Below are 16,973 nucleotides of genomic sequence, written 5' to 3' on the forward strand. Positions count from 1 at the left end.
CACTGTGGCTCATGCCTGTAATCCCACGGCTTTGGGAAGTGGGAGGATCGCTTGAGCCTAGAGGTTTGAGGCTGCAGTGAGCTATGATTGAACCACTGCATGCCAGGCTGGGTGACAGAACAAGACCCTGTCTCTAAAAAAACAAAAAGGAAGCAAAATAGAAAATGCTTCTTTGCAAACATTATGTCAATTAGTGATACATCTAAAATACATCTTGAGAGGCTGGGGTAGGAGAATTGCTTGAGGCCAATGGTTTGAGACCAGCCTGGGAAACGCAGTGAGACCCCATCTCTAAAACACAAAATAAAATAAAAAATAAATAATTAAAATGCAGTTTAACTGTAGCAGCTACACCCTTCAGCAGCATCTGTGAGAGAAGTGTTATTTCTGACCAAGCAGAGCTGTGTTTTAAGATGAAGGCTCCCCGACCTGTGAAAAACAGCCCTAGCTCAAGGTTAACTTACAGTATCAACAGTACATTACTTCAGCGATGCTTCTGTCTTCCTACCCACTGGGGACAATTGTCTCCATAGCTTGTATCTTACATTCTCAAATAACATCTAGTTTCTGGTTCCCCTGAGACCAGGTGCATCCTCCACCCACCTCACCCCACTGAACCAAGGATCTGCTGTACACCCTTCCTCATTAGAAACTTCATCTCCACCCTCTTTCCCACTCCCCCAACAAAACAATCAAAGCACATGCCCAAATTTATTTTTATTTTGCACACATAGGAAACAGGATCCTATCAAAAGAGAACAAAAAAGAGAAACGAGCCAATTGTTGCAGAGGAAAAGCATGCACAGATCTGCTTCAAGTTTACTCTGAACCACGGACGCTCCGGGAATTCTACACACCAGGAGCTGTCTCACTCCAGGAAGTGGGCACAACCCACCATCCACACAATGGAAACAAGAATGGCCAGGAAATGTCACCGAAGTGGGACTTCCATATGCAGGATCAGCGTTCACAGTAGCACAATTCTAACCAAGTTCAAGGGAAAACAAACTCTGTCTCACACAAACATGGGAATACAAAATTGTTGAGCCCTAGCCATCACTGTCTCTTAACATAATTTGCTATCAAAAAGACAAACGAAATTTAGTCACGGACTTTTGGGTGCCTATTCAGCTGCACCCGATTCCAGGGGCAGCTTAGTGTGCTTTTTCATTACAAAAAATAAAGACATTAAAAATGCAAAACAAATGACCTGGAGGAAGAGGAGTGTTTGGACCCACGCAGTTGTCTTGGTTGTAAACAGTGAACATTGTGCTTTGTTGTCTCATTTAGATGGAGGCCTGCAGCATGGGAGGTACCACGCTGGCAGTCAGCAGTCACACCAGGGTGGTCAGAGACACTGGTGGCAGCATCTGTGCTTGCAACTGCATTCCCAGGGTGTCTGTTTTGTTCCCAAGTGTCTCCCACAAAATTCCCCAGGAGGTTCTCCGATTAAATGTCCTCAGAGTGAAAAGCATGGACACCAAATCACTCCGTATCCACTTCCATGAGATGTCTTGATGCTCCAGTTCAATGAGTAACAATTTCTCAAGAGGCTCTGATTAGTTCATTAAAAAATAAGCACCCCCACCTCATTCCCCGTGATACAGCACATCTAGTAATCTAGGCGCCTCAGCTAAGCTGCATAGCTCTTAGCACACAGGACAGGTCAGCGTTCACACATCAACACTATAACTATGCGGCGGAACTAGCTCCCCGCTAGCCGTCAACTACTCAGGAGACTACCTGTGAGATCCTGGGGTGAGCTGTGATTCCTATCCAGGAATGTGCATTTCCGACCACTTCTTCTTTATTCTAATTATGACAACATGGTCAGTGCAGTTGAGTCAGTACTTCTCCTGTCTTTTCCCAGCAAGCTCCTCCTCCTTGGAGCCCAGCACACACCCGCTTAGACCCAACACAACCTCAGAGAGAGACGCCTCAGCTGGTCTCTCTCCCTGGAAGAGTCCATGTGACTTCCCAGCCAGATGTGCCCCGTTTTGAAAGCACCCTTCAGAACCCACCACTGGAGCTGCCTGAGGGAAGGAGACCCCCGGGCCTGAGAATGCCCTGGAGAGGCAGTGATGTCCAGGGAAGACACACACCCAGTCTGATTTCAAAGGGCAGGACGCTCTACATGCACTTCCATAAACACACCAAAAAAATGGGTAACAGTCCTTTCTCCAAATCAGACCAAGAGCTCACAAAATGCAATGTCTCAGTTTGGGGCAGGAAGTGATTTCCCATGAATTTAAATAAATTTGCTTAGTGGATGTCAGATCACTGTCAGGCCTCCAAGGCAAGCCTGATTCTAGGCCCCATCCTGCGGTGAGAGCTGCACGTGCTACCCTTCCCTGGCGGTGCAGGAGAAGTCTATCTTTAGGATATGAACAGAGACAGAAACATGACAAGGGGCTTGCTCTCTCCTGAATGTCTCTCCAACAGCTTCTGGAAGAGGAAGGCTGACGAGAGGACAGGCTGGAGCAGATGACCTGCTGGGCTCAGCTCAGTCGGCTGCTGCTTCATCGGCTGAGCCGCCCGGCATGGGGCTTCCTATTAATACCCGGGCAGAAGGATGCTTGCCTGGGATGCTCGGCCTGGCCCCTCTACATGCCACCTGCACCTCCAGCACTGCCTTCTTCCTCTCAGTCTCTCTCCTGTAGATCTGGTCACGCCACCGTAAGGACGTCAGCCCTCGGGGACTGTCACCACACTACCATGTGAGAGCACAGACTGCGTCAGAAACAGAAGCAACAGAGGAGACAAAGTGTGAGTTCATATATTGTACTCCATGGAAAGCCTGAAAGAGAGCTGTGCTTGCTGTGAGGATATCAGAGGAACTGCCCTTAGCAGCCCACGAGACCGTTCCTGGAAGTGAACATCAACGAAGACAGAAAGGCCAGGGAAAGGCCCTCTCCTGTCTCTCCTCTTGCACGTGGGCACCCCACTACTTGGCCTTCACTACCTGTTCGTACGGGGGCGGAGGCGTGTTGCAGTAGGCTGGAGGGGGCGGGCAGGCCACACTCCCCTGGGGTGAGTTGGGTGGGACCTGGAAAGCCATTGCCATGGAATTCCCGACAGGGTTCATCCCCGGTCCTCCTGGGTCGGTGTAATAGGGCGGCCCCGGCTGCTGGGCTCCTGAAAGACAGACAAACATAGGTGAGCACAGAAGGGAAAGCCCCATCACACCGCAAGTATGTGCAGGCTGCAGGGCCAGCAGACCACGCCCCGTCATTCACTCAGCGACAGTGTATGAAGGACCCAACATGCCCGGTGAGGGGGCACCTGGGCTGTGGTGACAAGCAACACAATAGGCAGGTCCCTGCCCTCTCGGGGCTTTGATTCTACTGGACTACATTCCACGTTACCAGTTCACACATTAGGGTGGAGGAAACTGGGCCACAGTAAGGTGAGGCTGTCTGCGGTGAACTATCGGAAGAGCTGCAAAGACCACCCAGGCTTCGCGACTCAGCCTGGCATTATCGCAGGAGCTCCACAACCCCTCTGGGCACGCCATTGGCTGGTGACCATTTCTGAAGTAAGGTCTCCATTCTCCCTGCCGGGCTAGTGTGCCCTCAGGGCAGGAGTTACTCACAGGCAGGGAGGCCGTGCACCTGGGCACACATAGCCAGGCTGCAGCTGATTGACGCTCCATGGGTCAGGAGCGGAGCCGCAGGCTGACTCCCTAGTGACAAGCTGAGGAGCAGGGCACGGGGGCACCACAGAAGGTGACAGGAGGGTACAGGCTGGACACCCGACCCCAAATCTAGCCCTCACTCTGAGGTGCTGTTTTCAGTGTGCTTACTGTGATCATGCAGATTAACACTATAGAATTATGCATATGTAAATAAAGAATCAGACAAAACCGTGAAAGTGCTGGGTGTTCCCTGGGTATAGCTGATTTTGTGACAGGACTCAGGTGTTTTTGAAGTGAGGCTTCCTTTAGCTCAGGGAGACACTCAAGTGTCAAAGAAGCTGCCCCTGTGTGAATATTGTGTAGGGTTTTTTTTCTTTTTTTGCAATTCTCCCCCTGACACAGTGTGATATAGTTCTGACTCTAGAAACATGCCCATCAAGGTACACAAGATGTCCCAAAGCCCACATAAGTCAGACCATGGGAATCTGCGCATGTGCGGAAGGAGAGCATGTAGAACAGAAGCACAGGCCAGGCCTGCACTGTCTCTCACTGAGCGCTCTCAACTGCCAGGAGGGCACTCAGCACAGATGCCACCCTGTGTGAGAGGCTGCCTCGCCCTGCATCTGTGCCGTCCCACAGACACCACCTGAGTGAGATGCCGTGTGGTCCCACAGATGCCACCTGCGCTGCTCTGATGCATCTCACCCGCTGCCTTGGGTGTGTTCTATTTAGAAGTCGACTTACTGCCATTACCATGAGTTTCGCAAGGGCAGAGATTATGTTTTATTTAGATCTGGATCCTGCTATATGTTATACAATTAAAAAACCAAGGATTTTTAAAAAGAGGGCATTGCAACAGTCTAAGCAAGACATTATGAAGGCTTCTGAATATTAGAGAAAAAATGGAGAAGAGAGAATGAGGCACTGAGGGCTGTCGGCAATGACTGGCCTGGGATTGACTCGATGGGGAGCGCACAGCGTGGGAGACAAGGGCTGAGAAGAAAAGGCCCTAGGTTCTGCTCACAATAAGGGCCCCCCAACAGGCAGGGCAATACAGGAGAACAGGGGCTCTGCAAGAATTAGCGCCTTACCAAGGTCACACTACTGCTACAGCAGCACCAGGACAAGGGCGGGGCAGATGAAAAAGTCCCTGCTGGACTGGAGAGGGCGGAGGCAGCTCTGGAGCTGGAGCCTCCTGTGGGAAGGTGGTGGTGGAAACATGGGCATGTCCAGGAGAAGGCTGCAGGAAGGAGCAGCACTGAGGCCAGGAGAGGAGCATGAAGTGTCTAAGGCTGATGAGAAGGATGCATAGGCAATGGGAAGATGCGGCAGGAGGTGGTGCACCAGGAGCCAGGGCAGCAAGGGGTGGGAGAATTTTCAGGAAGAAGTGATGTTCTCTCCCCAGCTGAAGAGAGATGGAAATAAGCACGGCTGTAGCCTTGGGGTTCCCGTGCTCTTTCTCTACAGTTTCACACCATGGTAGACACAGGTCCCTGCTGCAGTAGGGAGAAACAGTCCAGGGTGTGGGTGAAGACTGTAGGAGGGGACGGGTGGCAGCTGGAAGGCACGCAGGGCAAGAGAAGGTGCCTTTGTAAGGATGGAAACGCTTGCGCATATGGGCAGGGGTAGGGACAGACACAGGACAGAGAGAACTTTCGGGGAGAACACAGCTCGGTGAGGGTAATGGCCTCTGGTAAAGCACTTGGAGCCTACTAGCTGGGAGCTGGTGCACAGGAAGGCACCCGAGACAGTGGGCCGAGTGGGCAGAGCCATGTGGGGTGTGGCCCTGAAAAGCACAGCAAGGGACTCGGCCACCACAGGTTTGGCGGAGCGGTGGGTGAACATGGCCGGCAGCCTCCACTGCCGGGCGAAGCAGGTCCAGGTGATTCATTTGCTGACAGGGATGTGGGAAAGGGCAACAGGAGAACTGACCAAAAGCCTCAAGGACGAAGGGAGCAGTGCGTTACAGTCACAGATGGGAGCCAAAATAGTGACAAGGAGCGACAGGCCCACTGGTGCAGGATTCGGTGTGGTGGGGACAATCTGCACAGAGGTGACAGCCAGGAGCAAGGGGACTCCACCACCCCTCCCTTCCCTACACAGGGTGTGCCCTGGGAGGAGCCCTTCAGTTCTGGTTTGTGGTTGATGGTTGGGTTAAAGAAAACACACAAAACATTCTAGGAAGAGGCTGGGGTTGCAGAAAGACTTTCTCCACAAGATGGGGTAGAAAGGGTAAGGAGAGGTGAGTAAAACCATGGCTGCCCCTCACGTCACCAGTGTTCATCAGGCCAGCCTGTGCCGTGTGTGCACGGTGGGGAATGGCATGGGATGGGGATTGGGTGGGAGAACAGAGGCTCTGCCAGAGTGAGTGCCTCACCAAGGTCACGCTACCGCTAGAGCAGCACCAGGACTTGAACCCAGTAGTGAACCAGAAAGTCAGACTCTCCCTATGATGACAGGCGTCTCTTGAAACAGGATGGTGAAGTGGGGGAAGAAGTTCAGGCAAGGGTGGGATGGGAGAGCCACAGGAGACTGGGGGCATCACGGGCCCGTGTGGAGCGCCGTCTAAGAATTAAAGGCCACCACAGCCAGCCTCCCAGCCGGGCTGCACTCACACCCTTGGCATGTCATCTGTCTCTGGACAATGCTGGAGTCATTTTACTTTGAACGTCATCATCTCCTCCTCAGTGGGAGTCTTGGCATGGTTTGAAAGGGAGCTCCAGGCTCAGCAAAGACTGGGAGGACACGCTGTGATGTTAACTGACAATCACCCCTTCTCAGTGAGCTGGCCCAGCCCCACGGGTGCCAGGGGGATGGCCAGGCAGCCTGTATTCTTAGCAGGACCTGCCACCTCTCTAGCCCAGCTGACTGGCCAGTGGCGTGTCGGGGGGGTGGGCGGGGGGGCTGGGCCAATCTTTCCTGGGGATGCAAAAGAGTCCGGCAGGCCGCAGAGGGAGGGGTGGAAATGCAGGGAGAAGGAGAGGCAGCTGACAGAGTATGTGGCCCAGGAGGGACAGAGGCCAGGGGCCCAGGGGCCTGACTCCTGACAGCGTTCCAGTTACACCAGGATCCCCACACCATTTTAGTCAGCCCCTCCAAACTCAGGGCACGTGGGTCTCTGGTCTCACCTCTCCTCCTCTCCAGCCATGCCCTGGCTTCCCTGCTCTGTCCCCTCTGGCCCAGCTGCTCCTCCAGCCATGGGCAGGAGCCTCAACACAGGGCACCAGGGGCAGAGCTCGTTCCTGCCACCCAAGCTGTGGCAGGCTTGGCCCTACATTCCTCCCCACCAATCACTCATGGGACGGTGGGCTCTCCAGAGGGACAGGGCCTGCTATGATGGGCTCCTGCCCACTTCAGAGCCTTGTGTCTCACCGCCTGCCCTATTCTCCATCTCCAGCAGTAACCACACTGCCTGGATCCGGTCTGCCCTCTCTGGGCCCTCACTAGATAACATATCCCAGGCTTTCACCATGCAAACCGTGTCTCCTGGAATGCCTGTGACCACCTCATGCCAGGCACCTCCTAGCCTCTGGTCTGGCTAATTGCCATGTATCTTTCAGTCTCAGCTCAGAATCACCAGGCAGCCCCCTCTTGCTGCCTGTCACTGCCTTCCCAGCTGAGCAGGCACCCCTGTCCTCTGGTACCCAGAACAAGGCACGTCCATGAGTATGCAGCAGTTGCCTAGTATGGTATGATTTTCTGAGCCTTCTGAACACGAGGACAGAGCATCACTCACCCTGGTTCCCTGAGAGCCCAGAACGGCACCTTGCATGTGGCAGACGTTCCATAAATACACGGGAGGAGTGACTGAAGGGGGGACGAGTGGCGACTTGGATCTGGACTTTGGCGCTGCCAGATTGTGCTGGGTGTGCATGGGTTTCCTGAGACACACCTGTTTCTGATATGACAGGAGTGACTGGCTGCCCCACTCAGCAAGCCTGTGCCAAGGCCGTGGCTCCTGTCGAGGGGAGGATCCCAACCCCCTGCTGCAGGTGAGGGAGGGGCGGGAGTGTGGTCTTTGTAGAAGAGAGGCAGCCAGGCTATGTTTGCAATGTGGCCACTCACGCTGCAGAACCAGAAACACCAGCACCTGCATCCAGTCTAATCGGTATCTTCGTGTTCATAGACACAGTGATGGATCCTACCAGGAACTGGTGGGACGGGATTGAAATATTTGAACATGGAGATGGAGAGGTATTTGGAATATAAAAGAGAACGGATAGAAAATGAATAAACTGTGTACTTGTCAAGAACATGAACCCTTAGGTTAAAAAATTGGTGACCACGCTGGAGAGGCTACAGTTGAGGTTAAAGGGCAGCAGGGCCGGATGCTGGAGCCTCATGTGAGTAGCTGAGGGACCCCGGCCAGGTGGAGGCAGCGCGGCCGCGGAAGCAGCATGCAGAGGCCGCACCCACCCAGACAGCTGCTCAGCTTCTGCTCATTTGGCTACAACTCCTCACAGGACGCTGGCCATGCTTACCATTCAGGCTCCCACAAAGAAGAGCAACCGAGAGAAGGTGGACCCAGTTCTCACAGAGGCAGAGACTCATTTAGGAAAGAGAAAGCAAGGACACTTCATTCTCTGCATGAAGCCTGCGGACAGAAGACCAGCACGGTCTGGAATGTGCCCACAGACTTCAGAGAGATCACGGCAAAGACATTCCCACAAACCACAGATGATTATATGGCACATGGCTCTGGAATCAAAAGCACCTTAAAGTCATAACCTCAACTCCTTAATCACAAATAATCACAAAGAGAACAAAAATGTGAGTGTCCCAAATGAAGCCCTGTGACTAAAGAGCAAAATTACAAAATGAGATTATTACCAGGAGCAAATACAGAATGAAGTCAGGAAAAAAAAGCCCAAGGGAGCTGCAGCTTGAAGCAATGACTCTAGCCAAAAAAGGGGGCTTTGCATGTGCACAGAGAATAAAGAAGATTAAGAAATAAAACAAATAGCAAAAGAAACTACCTTAAATGGTATTCTCTCCCAAGGAGAATGGTTTGCAAACTGAAAGGGAGAAACAAAAAAATGGGTGAGGGAAAATGAAAGACCAAGATAAATGAGAACTGACCGGATGTTGGGGAGAGCATTCAGATTGCCTGCCTCCAACCAAGTACCTCTCAGTGCAGGAAGCATGGAATAGAACCAGGACCTCAGGGTCCCATGACATGCTAAGTGCATTTTCCTCACAGATTCATGTATCTCACATACAGCCTGTCATTCTAGCCACCGAGGAATGCTATGAGATACACACTATTTCAATTTTACAGATTCAAAAGCGGAAGTCCAAATAAATTACACAATGTGCTCAAGGGACTCTCCTTCCAGTGGACACTGTTGCATCTGTGAGGACCCAGGCGGACCTCTCTCAGCCAGGAAGGAGAGTTGGAGGGGGAAGAGCTGAGGGGGGCAGCAGGGGCCCATGGAAGGAGCCCGGCCCGAGGATGCTGCTGAGCCATGCAGTTAAACCATGGCCCTTCCTCTATGTGACTTTCTATCGTAAGAGACAATTCTTTCTTATTTTTGAAGCTGGCTGAATTGAGGTATGTGTTACTTGTAGCCAAAAGCCTTGAACTACCTCTTCCAGAGAACATTTTCTTTTTTTTTTTTTTATTATTATACTTTAAGTTTTAGGGTACATGTGCACAATGTGCAGGTTAGTTACATATGTATACGTGTGCCATGCTGGTGTGCTGCACCCATTAACTCGTCATTTAGCGTTAGGTATATCTCCTAACGCTATCCCTCCCCCATCCCCCCACCCCACAACAGTCCCCAGAATGTGATGTTCCCCTTCCTGTGTCCATGTGTTCCAGAGAACATTTTCACAAACAACAGAGGTGTTGCCAGCTCAGTACTGGCATTTCTGTGTCCTCTGAGCTTTCTAGTTTGGTTTGGTTTGAGGTTGTATCTGTTCATTTTGCTAAACTGTCTCAACTCTTAGAAATATTTCTGAGCTCATTCTCCAGGATTTTTAGGTAAGTACTGATGATAAACTGTTTACAAACAGTAATAGTTTTGTTTCTCCTTCCTGATGGTTGAATATTTTCATTTTAGCCAGAAATTTTAGAGCAATATTAAATATTATTAAATATCAGTTATGATATTAAGCAATCCAATTTTCATGGGAATTATTTTATAGTTTCACCAAATGTGATGTTAGCAAAGAATCTAAAGTGCATACTCAACAATTATTTATGCAACATCTCCCGTTCAAAAGGCATAGCTGGTAACATGGAGCACACAGTGGAAGGCTTGAGCCTGGAACCCAGGAATTTACATGAGGTCTTTATTACATTAATAAAAGGCCTTACATGGCTAGTTTTGAGAGAGTTTTGATAAGGAATATATATCAAATTGTGCTGACAGCCTCTTCAGCACCTACTGAGACAATCATTGCTTTCTGATATAACTTACAATGTTAATTGCGTGCCTAAAATAAAACGATCTTTTGTTAAGAAGATCATGGTTGGTTATGATGGTTTACTATTTTGACACATTGCTTAATTCAGTTTCCTAAATATGATTCGATATAATTTTATTTTGGTGTTTATTCCCAAGTTATACTAACTTTACAACATGAATACGTAGCATTCCTATGATTTGCAGTAATTGATACATTCATTAAAATGAATTGTTTCTTAAAAGTTTCAAAAAAGCCATATGAACTTAAAGACATTCTGGGAGATAATTCTTTGAAAATGTCTTCAAGCTCTTGCTTGCTTTTTGAGTTATTGAAATTTTCAATGTCTTTACGCACTTTGGTATCATAAAGTACTTACGCACTTTGCCATCTTACCAGATTTTCCAATTCATGAATACTTCCTTGTGATTTTCAACTCCTTTGAATCTGTAGTGTTTTAATTTATGCTTTTATTTTTGTGTTCTTCTCCTTTATTGATTAGATTTATCAGGAGGGGAACAAGCAATGTGATTTGCTCTATTGCTTTTTATCAACTGCTAACTTAGATTTATAATTATATTTTTCTGATTTTTACAATTAATTTGTATTTCATTTATAATTTCTCCCATCTCTACTTCCCAGGCTTAATTTTACCCACTCTTTATATATTTCTGTGACTTTATTAATTTCTGAGCCTCTTTTGAGGAGAGCTCAGTTCATTTGCTTTTTCATAAACTTTTAACAGAATAAAGCTATGAATCTATTAATACCTCTAAAAATTGGCTGAACATGTACTGCATATGCTGTTGCATTCCTTTCACTGATGCCTATGTCCATTTGTGTGTTCAACAAAGACTGAATTCTCACTGAGTGCCAGCACTGTTCTGGGCACTGAGGATGTAACAATGACAAAAACTGAAAATCTCAGTTCTCACGTTACTTGCAGTTTAGAGAGACAATGAGCAAGGTAAGAAAAATAGGTTAGTTGGTGATAAGTGCTAAAGATGAAAATAAAGCAGGAAAATTGAAAAATGAAAAGCCAACAGGGGAGGGGGAAGGGCAGTGCCATTCTTCCTTGTGTCTGCAGGCCTCATGAGGAGGTGAAGGACCTCAAGGAAATGGAACTGTTGGGCAGAAGGGGCAGGCAGCAGGTACTGGAGGAGCGTGCCGTGTACCTGGGCGTGTCCATGGAGAAAGAGACTTTTAGGCAGAGGAATGGCTGTCTGGAGGGTCTCAGGACAAGTCACAGGCCAGTGAGTGGCAGCAGGGGAGTGAGCCAGGAGGGGCCACAGGAGAGGCCAGAGCCCGCTGGGCAGCCAGGAGGGGTGCTGAGAGAAGAGAGGGCCTCCTTGGCCTCTCAAAGTGCTTCTGTGGCACAGTGGGCCCATGAGAGTGTTGGGAGCACAAGCCCTGGCTCCTGCTGTGACTCTGGCTGCCTTGCTGGAAGCAAGAGGCAGCAAGAGAACCACCAGGGAGGCTCTCATCAGAGTCTGAATAAAGGGTGGTAGCAGCCAGGGTGGTGTCGAGAGAAAAGGCCAACTGGCCTCAAGGCTCCTGGCTGGAGCCCTGGAAGAACAGAGGTGGGGCCTGGAAAGAGGGCGGAGGAAAGAACCAGCACTGCAGGGTCCTCCACTCCCACCTTTTTGACTCAATACATCATTTATGGGACTAGTCTTTTATTTCCAAGTGGGTGCAGAGCATGCATTTGTTCATTTACAGACATCTACAAACTGCAGGTGTCCTACTGGGAGTAGTAACTACTGCCCCTCAGTGAGTGCTGACTCTCCGGCCCTGTGCTCAGCAGGGGACACGAAGGAAGTACTCTTAGGATCCCAGCTTCAGGGGCTTGAGGCTCAGAGAACTGAGCAACTTTCCGAAAATCGCCACAGAAGCACGAAGTTTGAAACAAAGCCCCTAGTATCCGGAGGTATGCAGCTTCTACTTCTACAAACGTATTCGGACACCTTTGTAGTACAAAATCTAAGCGCTTCTTTCAAATGTTCCATTTATTTTTACATTTTGATCAGATTAATAGCAATGCATTGACACTCCTACAGTTTCCATCACTCTGTCATATTTTTACATTTTTGTTTTACATACTTTGAAAATTAAGACATGACTATTGTATCTTCACCTTTTATAAAAGGTGATTTTTATCAGTATTAAAAGGACTTCCTTTTCATATGCATATATTAGTAAATCTATGGAATATTTCTCAAAGAACACGCAAAAAAAAACTGATAAGCGGGAGGAAGGGAATTGGACTGCAGACTGTATATTTCTTCTTCCACTGTATAACGCTGTACATTTCCTCTTGAGGTACATACATTATCCATTACAAAAAAGAACCTCCTGCTACTGCCTTTTGGGGAAGAGAGGAAGAAGGGAGGTATTTTTTTTTTTTTTTTTTGAGACGGAGTCTCACTCTTTCCCTCAGGCTGGAGTGCAGTGGCGCTATCTAGGCTCACTGCAAGCTCTGCCTCCCGAGTAGCTGGGACTACAGGCACCCACCACCACACCTGGCTAATTTTTTTTTTTTTTTTTTTTTTGTATTTTTAGTAGAGATGGGGATTCACCGTGTTAGTCAGGGAGGTAGGGCGGTCTCGATCTCCTGACCTCATGATCCGCCTGCCTCAGCCTCCCAAAGTGCTGGGATTACAGGCGTGAGCCACCGCGTCCGGCCAAGAGGAGGAAGGGAGTTAAAAACATGTGGGTATTAGGCACCCAGCCTTCAGGCCGACCTGTTAGGGTTTACAGAGACCATACACTTGAAACACAGCTGAGATGCATGTGAACATTGCTTTAAGACATTGGGGCCCTAATGTCCCACAAGAAAAGGCACAGACAAACTTAGTGAGCAAGATTAAGTAGAAAATGAAACCCCCACACTAAGTTTTCACTTTTTCTTTCCTAGCTGTATAAATCAGAAGCTGAGTGAAGACAACGGTTTTGCTTGCTGCTGCTGATTTTTTAAAAACAAAAGCAAAAATAACTGTGTTAATAAAGAGAATTCCAGTGCATTACACAGAGCAGATCCTCAAGCATCTGCCAGAAATTAGAGTAAAAGCAGTCATGTTATTCCAAGAGACGAGCACTAACTTTCACTCCGGCTCTGCAGAGTTCACAGGTGCTCACGCTATTCTTAATGCTGAACTTGTATGACTGTGGCCAGCACAGCCCATCCTTCAATGCTTGTGTCTTCATCAAACCTGTAGCGCTTCTCAGTGCAGGGGGCATCCTGCATCACCTATTTCATCATTCACCTTGCTGAAATACAGACCCTGACTCAGCGGCTCTGGGTGGCGCTGGGGTGAGGGAGAGCCTGCATTTCTAACAGGCTCCAGGGACCATGCATGTCTTCAGGCTGTAATTTGACCAGCAGGTGCGAGGCAGTTGATAAGTGTCTATGGATCCTGATAACATGTTATGATTATCATCCCTCATTACAGAGGGGGAATCTGAGTCATGAAGGGTAGGTCCTTCCCTTCACTCAACCCTTCAGTAAGTTCCATGAACTCTGGGCCCAGGAAGGACCCCATCCCTGCTCTGTCCTCACCATCCCAATGCCCCACCCTGGCCAAATAGGGCAGTGCCTCTTACAGCTCTCTCTCGGGTTCCTTTGCTTAGGTTTATGATTCTCTCCAAAAGCTCTCCTATGTGGCTCTCAAGTCACCTTTGACCCCGCCCCTTCTTTGCTAATCCCTCCTGGTGAATTCTGTTACTTTCCCATGTCATGCTCTTTAGCCTCTCTCATTAAAGCAGAATATACTTGGATGTTGATTTTAACACAACATGTTGGTCCTTTTTTCTTTTTTCTTTTTTTTGAGATGGAATTTCGCTCTTGTTGCCTTGGAGGGCAACAGTGCGATCAGATCATTGCAACCTCCGCCTCCTGGGTTCAAGCAATTCTCCTGTCTCAGCCTCCCGAGTAGCTGGGATTACAGGCACATGCCACCATGCCTGGCTAATTTTTGTATTTTTAGTAGAGACAGGGTTTCATCATATCGGTCAGGCTGGTCTCAAACTCCTGACCTCAGGTGATCCACCTGCCTCAGCCTCCCCAAAGTGCTGGGATTACCGGCGAGAGCCACCGCACCCAGCCATCTTTTTCTTCTTACAGAGGAGTGTTAACACATTCCTCTTCACTGCCATAATATAGACTGTGGATGATCTTCCTCTGCCATGTTTTGTTTTTGTTTCCTTGCTGTTTCTTATCTAGTCTGTTTCCCTGACCTCCCCCAACTTTTTAACTTTTATTACTATCTTTGAAAGTGGTTTAGAATGTGGACATGTTGCTTTAGATTTCAAGAGGAGCTACTGTAGAGACATCCCAGGAACTGTCAAACACATCAGACTTGACTTTGTGGAGATTCATCCTCGTGAGCCTCCTTCCACCCCCTTGCCAGTCTTTCTTCACTGAACCTAGAGAAGCACAGGTGCTTTCCTTTATGATCTCATCACGCACTTCTCCAACCTACAGTCGCTGGGGGGTGGGGGTGAGCAGCAGTGCAGGCTGGAGCTGCTGAGGACAGCACCATGTCCTCAGTGGAGTGGTCTCTGTGCCAGCCAGCTGGGTGTGGAGTAAGGAGATTATTCGCACGGGGTGAGCTTGGGATGGGTGCCCTTGAGAATCCCATCCAGCCTTGAGATTCTTTTGACATTTTTTCTTTGAAGTAATATAATGAACATGTAGCAAAGCTAATTAACAAAAAAGAGAGAGAAAAGGCATCCCAGAAATAGAATGGAGAGAGAAATAACTACAAAGACAATGGTTACTGTAAAAGACGTTTAGAATACTGTGAACAAGTATGCGTTCATACTCCCTCAGAGTCTCCCAAAGCAACCCACCCTACTGACACACCGACTTCTGGCCTCTAGAACTGGGGGAAGACACGTTCTTGCTGTTTTAAGCCACCAGTCTGTGTAGTACTTTGTGAGGGCAGCCCCGGGACATGAATCCAGTACGCACCTTCTCCTGCTGTCAACAGCACAAGCCCACGTCAGCCCACAGCATGCAAGACAGTCTCAGCACAACAAAACCAGCACTGCTCCCAGAAACATAATTACTGGAAACATTTTAAAACTGTGCAGGGCTTCTTTTTGTTTGTTTTTTTAGGATTAGCCCTGGGATTCTGTGACCCTGTAATTTTTTTCTCCCCTTTTTGCCTAAGTTAGATCAAAGGTAATTAATAACAAATCCCCATGGCCACATGCCCAATTAAGCTCCTGGCTTTGTTTTCAGTAATCATCATCACGTGCGCAGGTCTCACCTAAGCAGCCAGCCCACCTCCCCACCCACCAGCTTCTCCTCCACAGGGAACCAAGGCTGAAAATACTGATACTCAACAAACAGCAGACACAAAAACACCATTTCACATCCTTCAAAAGTATTTTCCCAAGTCATTAGAAGTCTTCTAAAAAGAAGAGAAAACATGACACAGAACTGAAAGTCGATTTAAGGTTGAGAAGGTAAAAGGCAGATAGAATGGAAATGCATGTCATATTTTTGCTGAATTTCCACAGGCAATCTGAATGTGTATGATAAAAGGGACTTCCAAATTCAGCCTTTCACTTTGGGTGGTGCAGCACCCACGTTTTTCTATGAGAGGAGGTCGGAAGTCACTGTCGCCCTGTCCTCATCCCAGAGCTGCAGGCCGGGGACAGCTGCCTCATAACCCCGGCTGTCCTGTGGCTGCACTGTGACGCCACACAGGGCCCACACAGGGCGCCCGCACACGGGACGTGCACACAGTACATTCACAGAGCACTTAGTGACAGACGGCAGGTTGGACGTGTTAGGCACAGGGACCTCACGTGGGGCTGCAGACCTCATTGCAACAAGGGACCTCCAGTCTTGTTTGGCCCACATTTTCCCTCATCCGCCCCTCGGAAGGGCCGGACGCAGCCATTTCAAATATTAATACATTTAGGGAGAAAAGTGCAATGGTAGACTCGGGAGACAAGGGATCTGAAGGAGGCTCTGCTTCCCACGGGGAGAGGAATGCAGCCAGCGAGGCGGGCGGGGGACCTGTCAGACCCAGAGCTTGCGTGAGCAAATGTGAGGGAGACCCTTGGTACGTGCAGTGTGTCCCTCCAGATGCAGGCACCCATGAGTGGACCACGACGGGCCAGAGGCTCCGGCTCCACCTCAGCCCCATCACTGGCGAAGCAGAGGACAGTGGGCAAGGGACTTAAATCTGCTGTAAGTTTCTGTTCCCACTGATCAAAGATCATAGATGTGCAAGCTTTGTTGTGAGTAATGTAACAACAGGAATTGCCTACCAACAGGGCAGGCTGTAAAAAATTCTTCTTGAAATACAGTCTGTGCAAAGTGTGTTATCTGTCATAATTTATAGTGGCTAAGGACATTAAATGCTTTCACATGGATAAAAAAACAGCTGCTGCTTTTGTATGGCAGAACATTCTAGATGTATCCACTTTATGCAAACTGGGCTGTGCAAACCATAATAGCAAGGCAGAGGTCACAGGGAGGGGAGGGGCAGCACGGGGGCTGGAAAGAGAAGTGCCGCGTAAGAATAACGGAGACAGAGACAGAATGTCAGATGCACAGAGCTGGAGGACTTTGTGGAAACACATTCCTGCTGGTGAGGAGGCCCGCCATATTGGGAGGCCATCTCAATTCCTGGGCGTCACCAAGTAAGACAGTTCCCACACCCACACCCCCTCACCCTGACCCTGATCAACCAGTTTCCTTCTGCCATCAGGGATGAACAGGTAAGGAATATTCTGGTAGCCATGAGAATGTATGAATAGATTGGCATTGGTGATTTGTAAACAAAAAAGTATTTCCAGTTAATTTCTTTCAGCAAAACCATAAACTCAAAAATCTCTATCCTGAAGGCAGCTGCCCAGGGCAGCACAGGGCAGGCAATGAGTGTGAGACCCCACAATGCAACAGACCCTTACA

At 48.9% G+C, this 16,973-nt stretch overlaps 1 protein-coding gene across 17 annotated transcripts in view, besides 2 other annotated features; it reads right to left on the reverse strand.

The window, feature by feature from the left end:
• Positions 1 to 16,973, reverse strand: part of VOPP1 (VOPP1 WW domain binding protein) — a 137,539-nt gene that overhangs the window by 34,947 nt on the left and 85,619 nt on the right. For 8 of the 17 annotated variants that reach the window (NM_001321246.2, NM_030796.5, NM_001321244.2 and 5 more), the window contains one exon: positions 703 to 3,135. The exons of 4 other annotated variants lie outside the window; for them this stretch is intronic. In NM_001321246.2, coding sequence (NP_001308175.1) covers positions 2,945 to 3,135 — 191 coding nt within the window. In that variant the 3' untranslated portion in view covers positions 703 to 2,944. Of the gene's footprint in view, positions 1 to 697; positions 3,136 to 8,610; positions 8,650 to 16,973 lie in introns of those variants that run through there. 5 more of the 17 variants (NM_001284284.1, NM_001321242.1, NM_001321251.1 and 2 more) reach the window with 3 other exon arrangements.
• Positions 3,063 to 3,729: an enhancer, noted in NCBI's record as "H3K4me1 hESC enhancer chr7:55540666-55541332 (GRCh37/hg19 assembly coordinates)". NCBI's record gives its function as "activates a minimal SCP1, AML or CMV promoter by ChIP-STARR-seq in naive H9 embryonic stem cells {active_cell/tissue: H9 hESC(naive)}" and the evidence as "EXISTENCE:reporter gene assay evidence [ECO:0000049][PMID:30033119]".
• Positions 7,998 to 8,548: an enhancer, noted in NCBI's record as "H3K4me1 hESC enhancer chr7:55545601-55546151 (GRCh37/hg19 assembly coordinates)". NCBI's record gives its function as "activates a minimal SCP1, AML or CMV promoter by ChIP-STARR-seq in primed H9 embryonic stem cells {active_cell/tissue: H9 hESC(primed)}" and the evidence as "EXISTENCE:reporter gene assay evidence [ECO:0000049][PMID:30033119]".

This window comes from Homo sapiens, chromosome 7 (genome assembly GCF_000001405.40).
Source record: "Homo sapiens chromosome 7, GRCh38.p14 Primary Assembly".
NCBI lineage: Eukaryota > Metazoa > Chordata > Mammalia > Primates > Hominidae > Homo > Homo sapiens.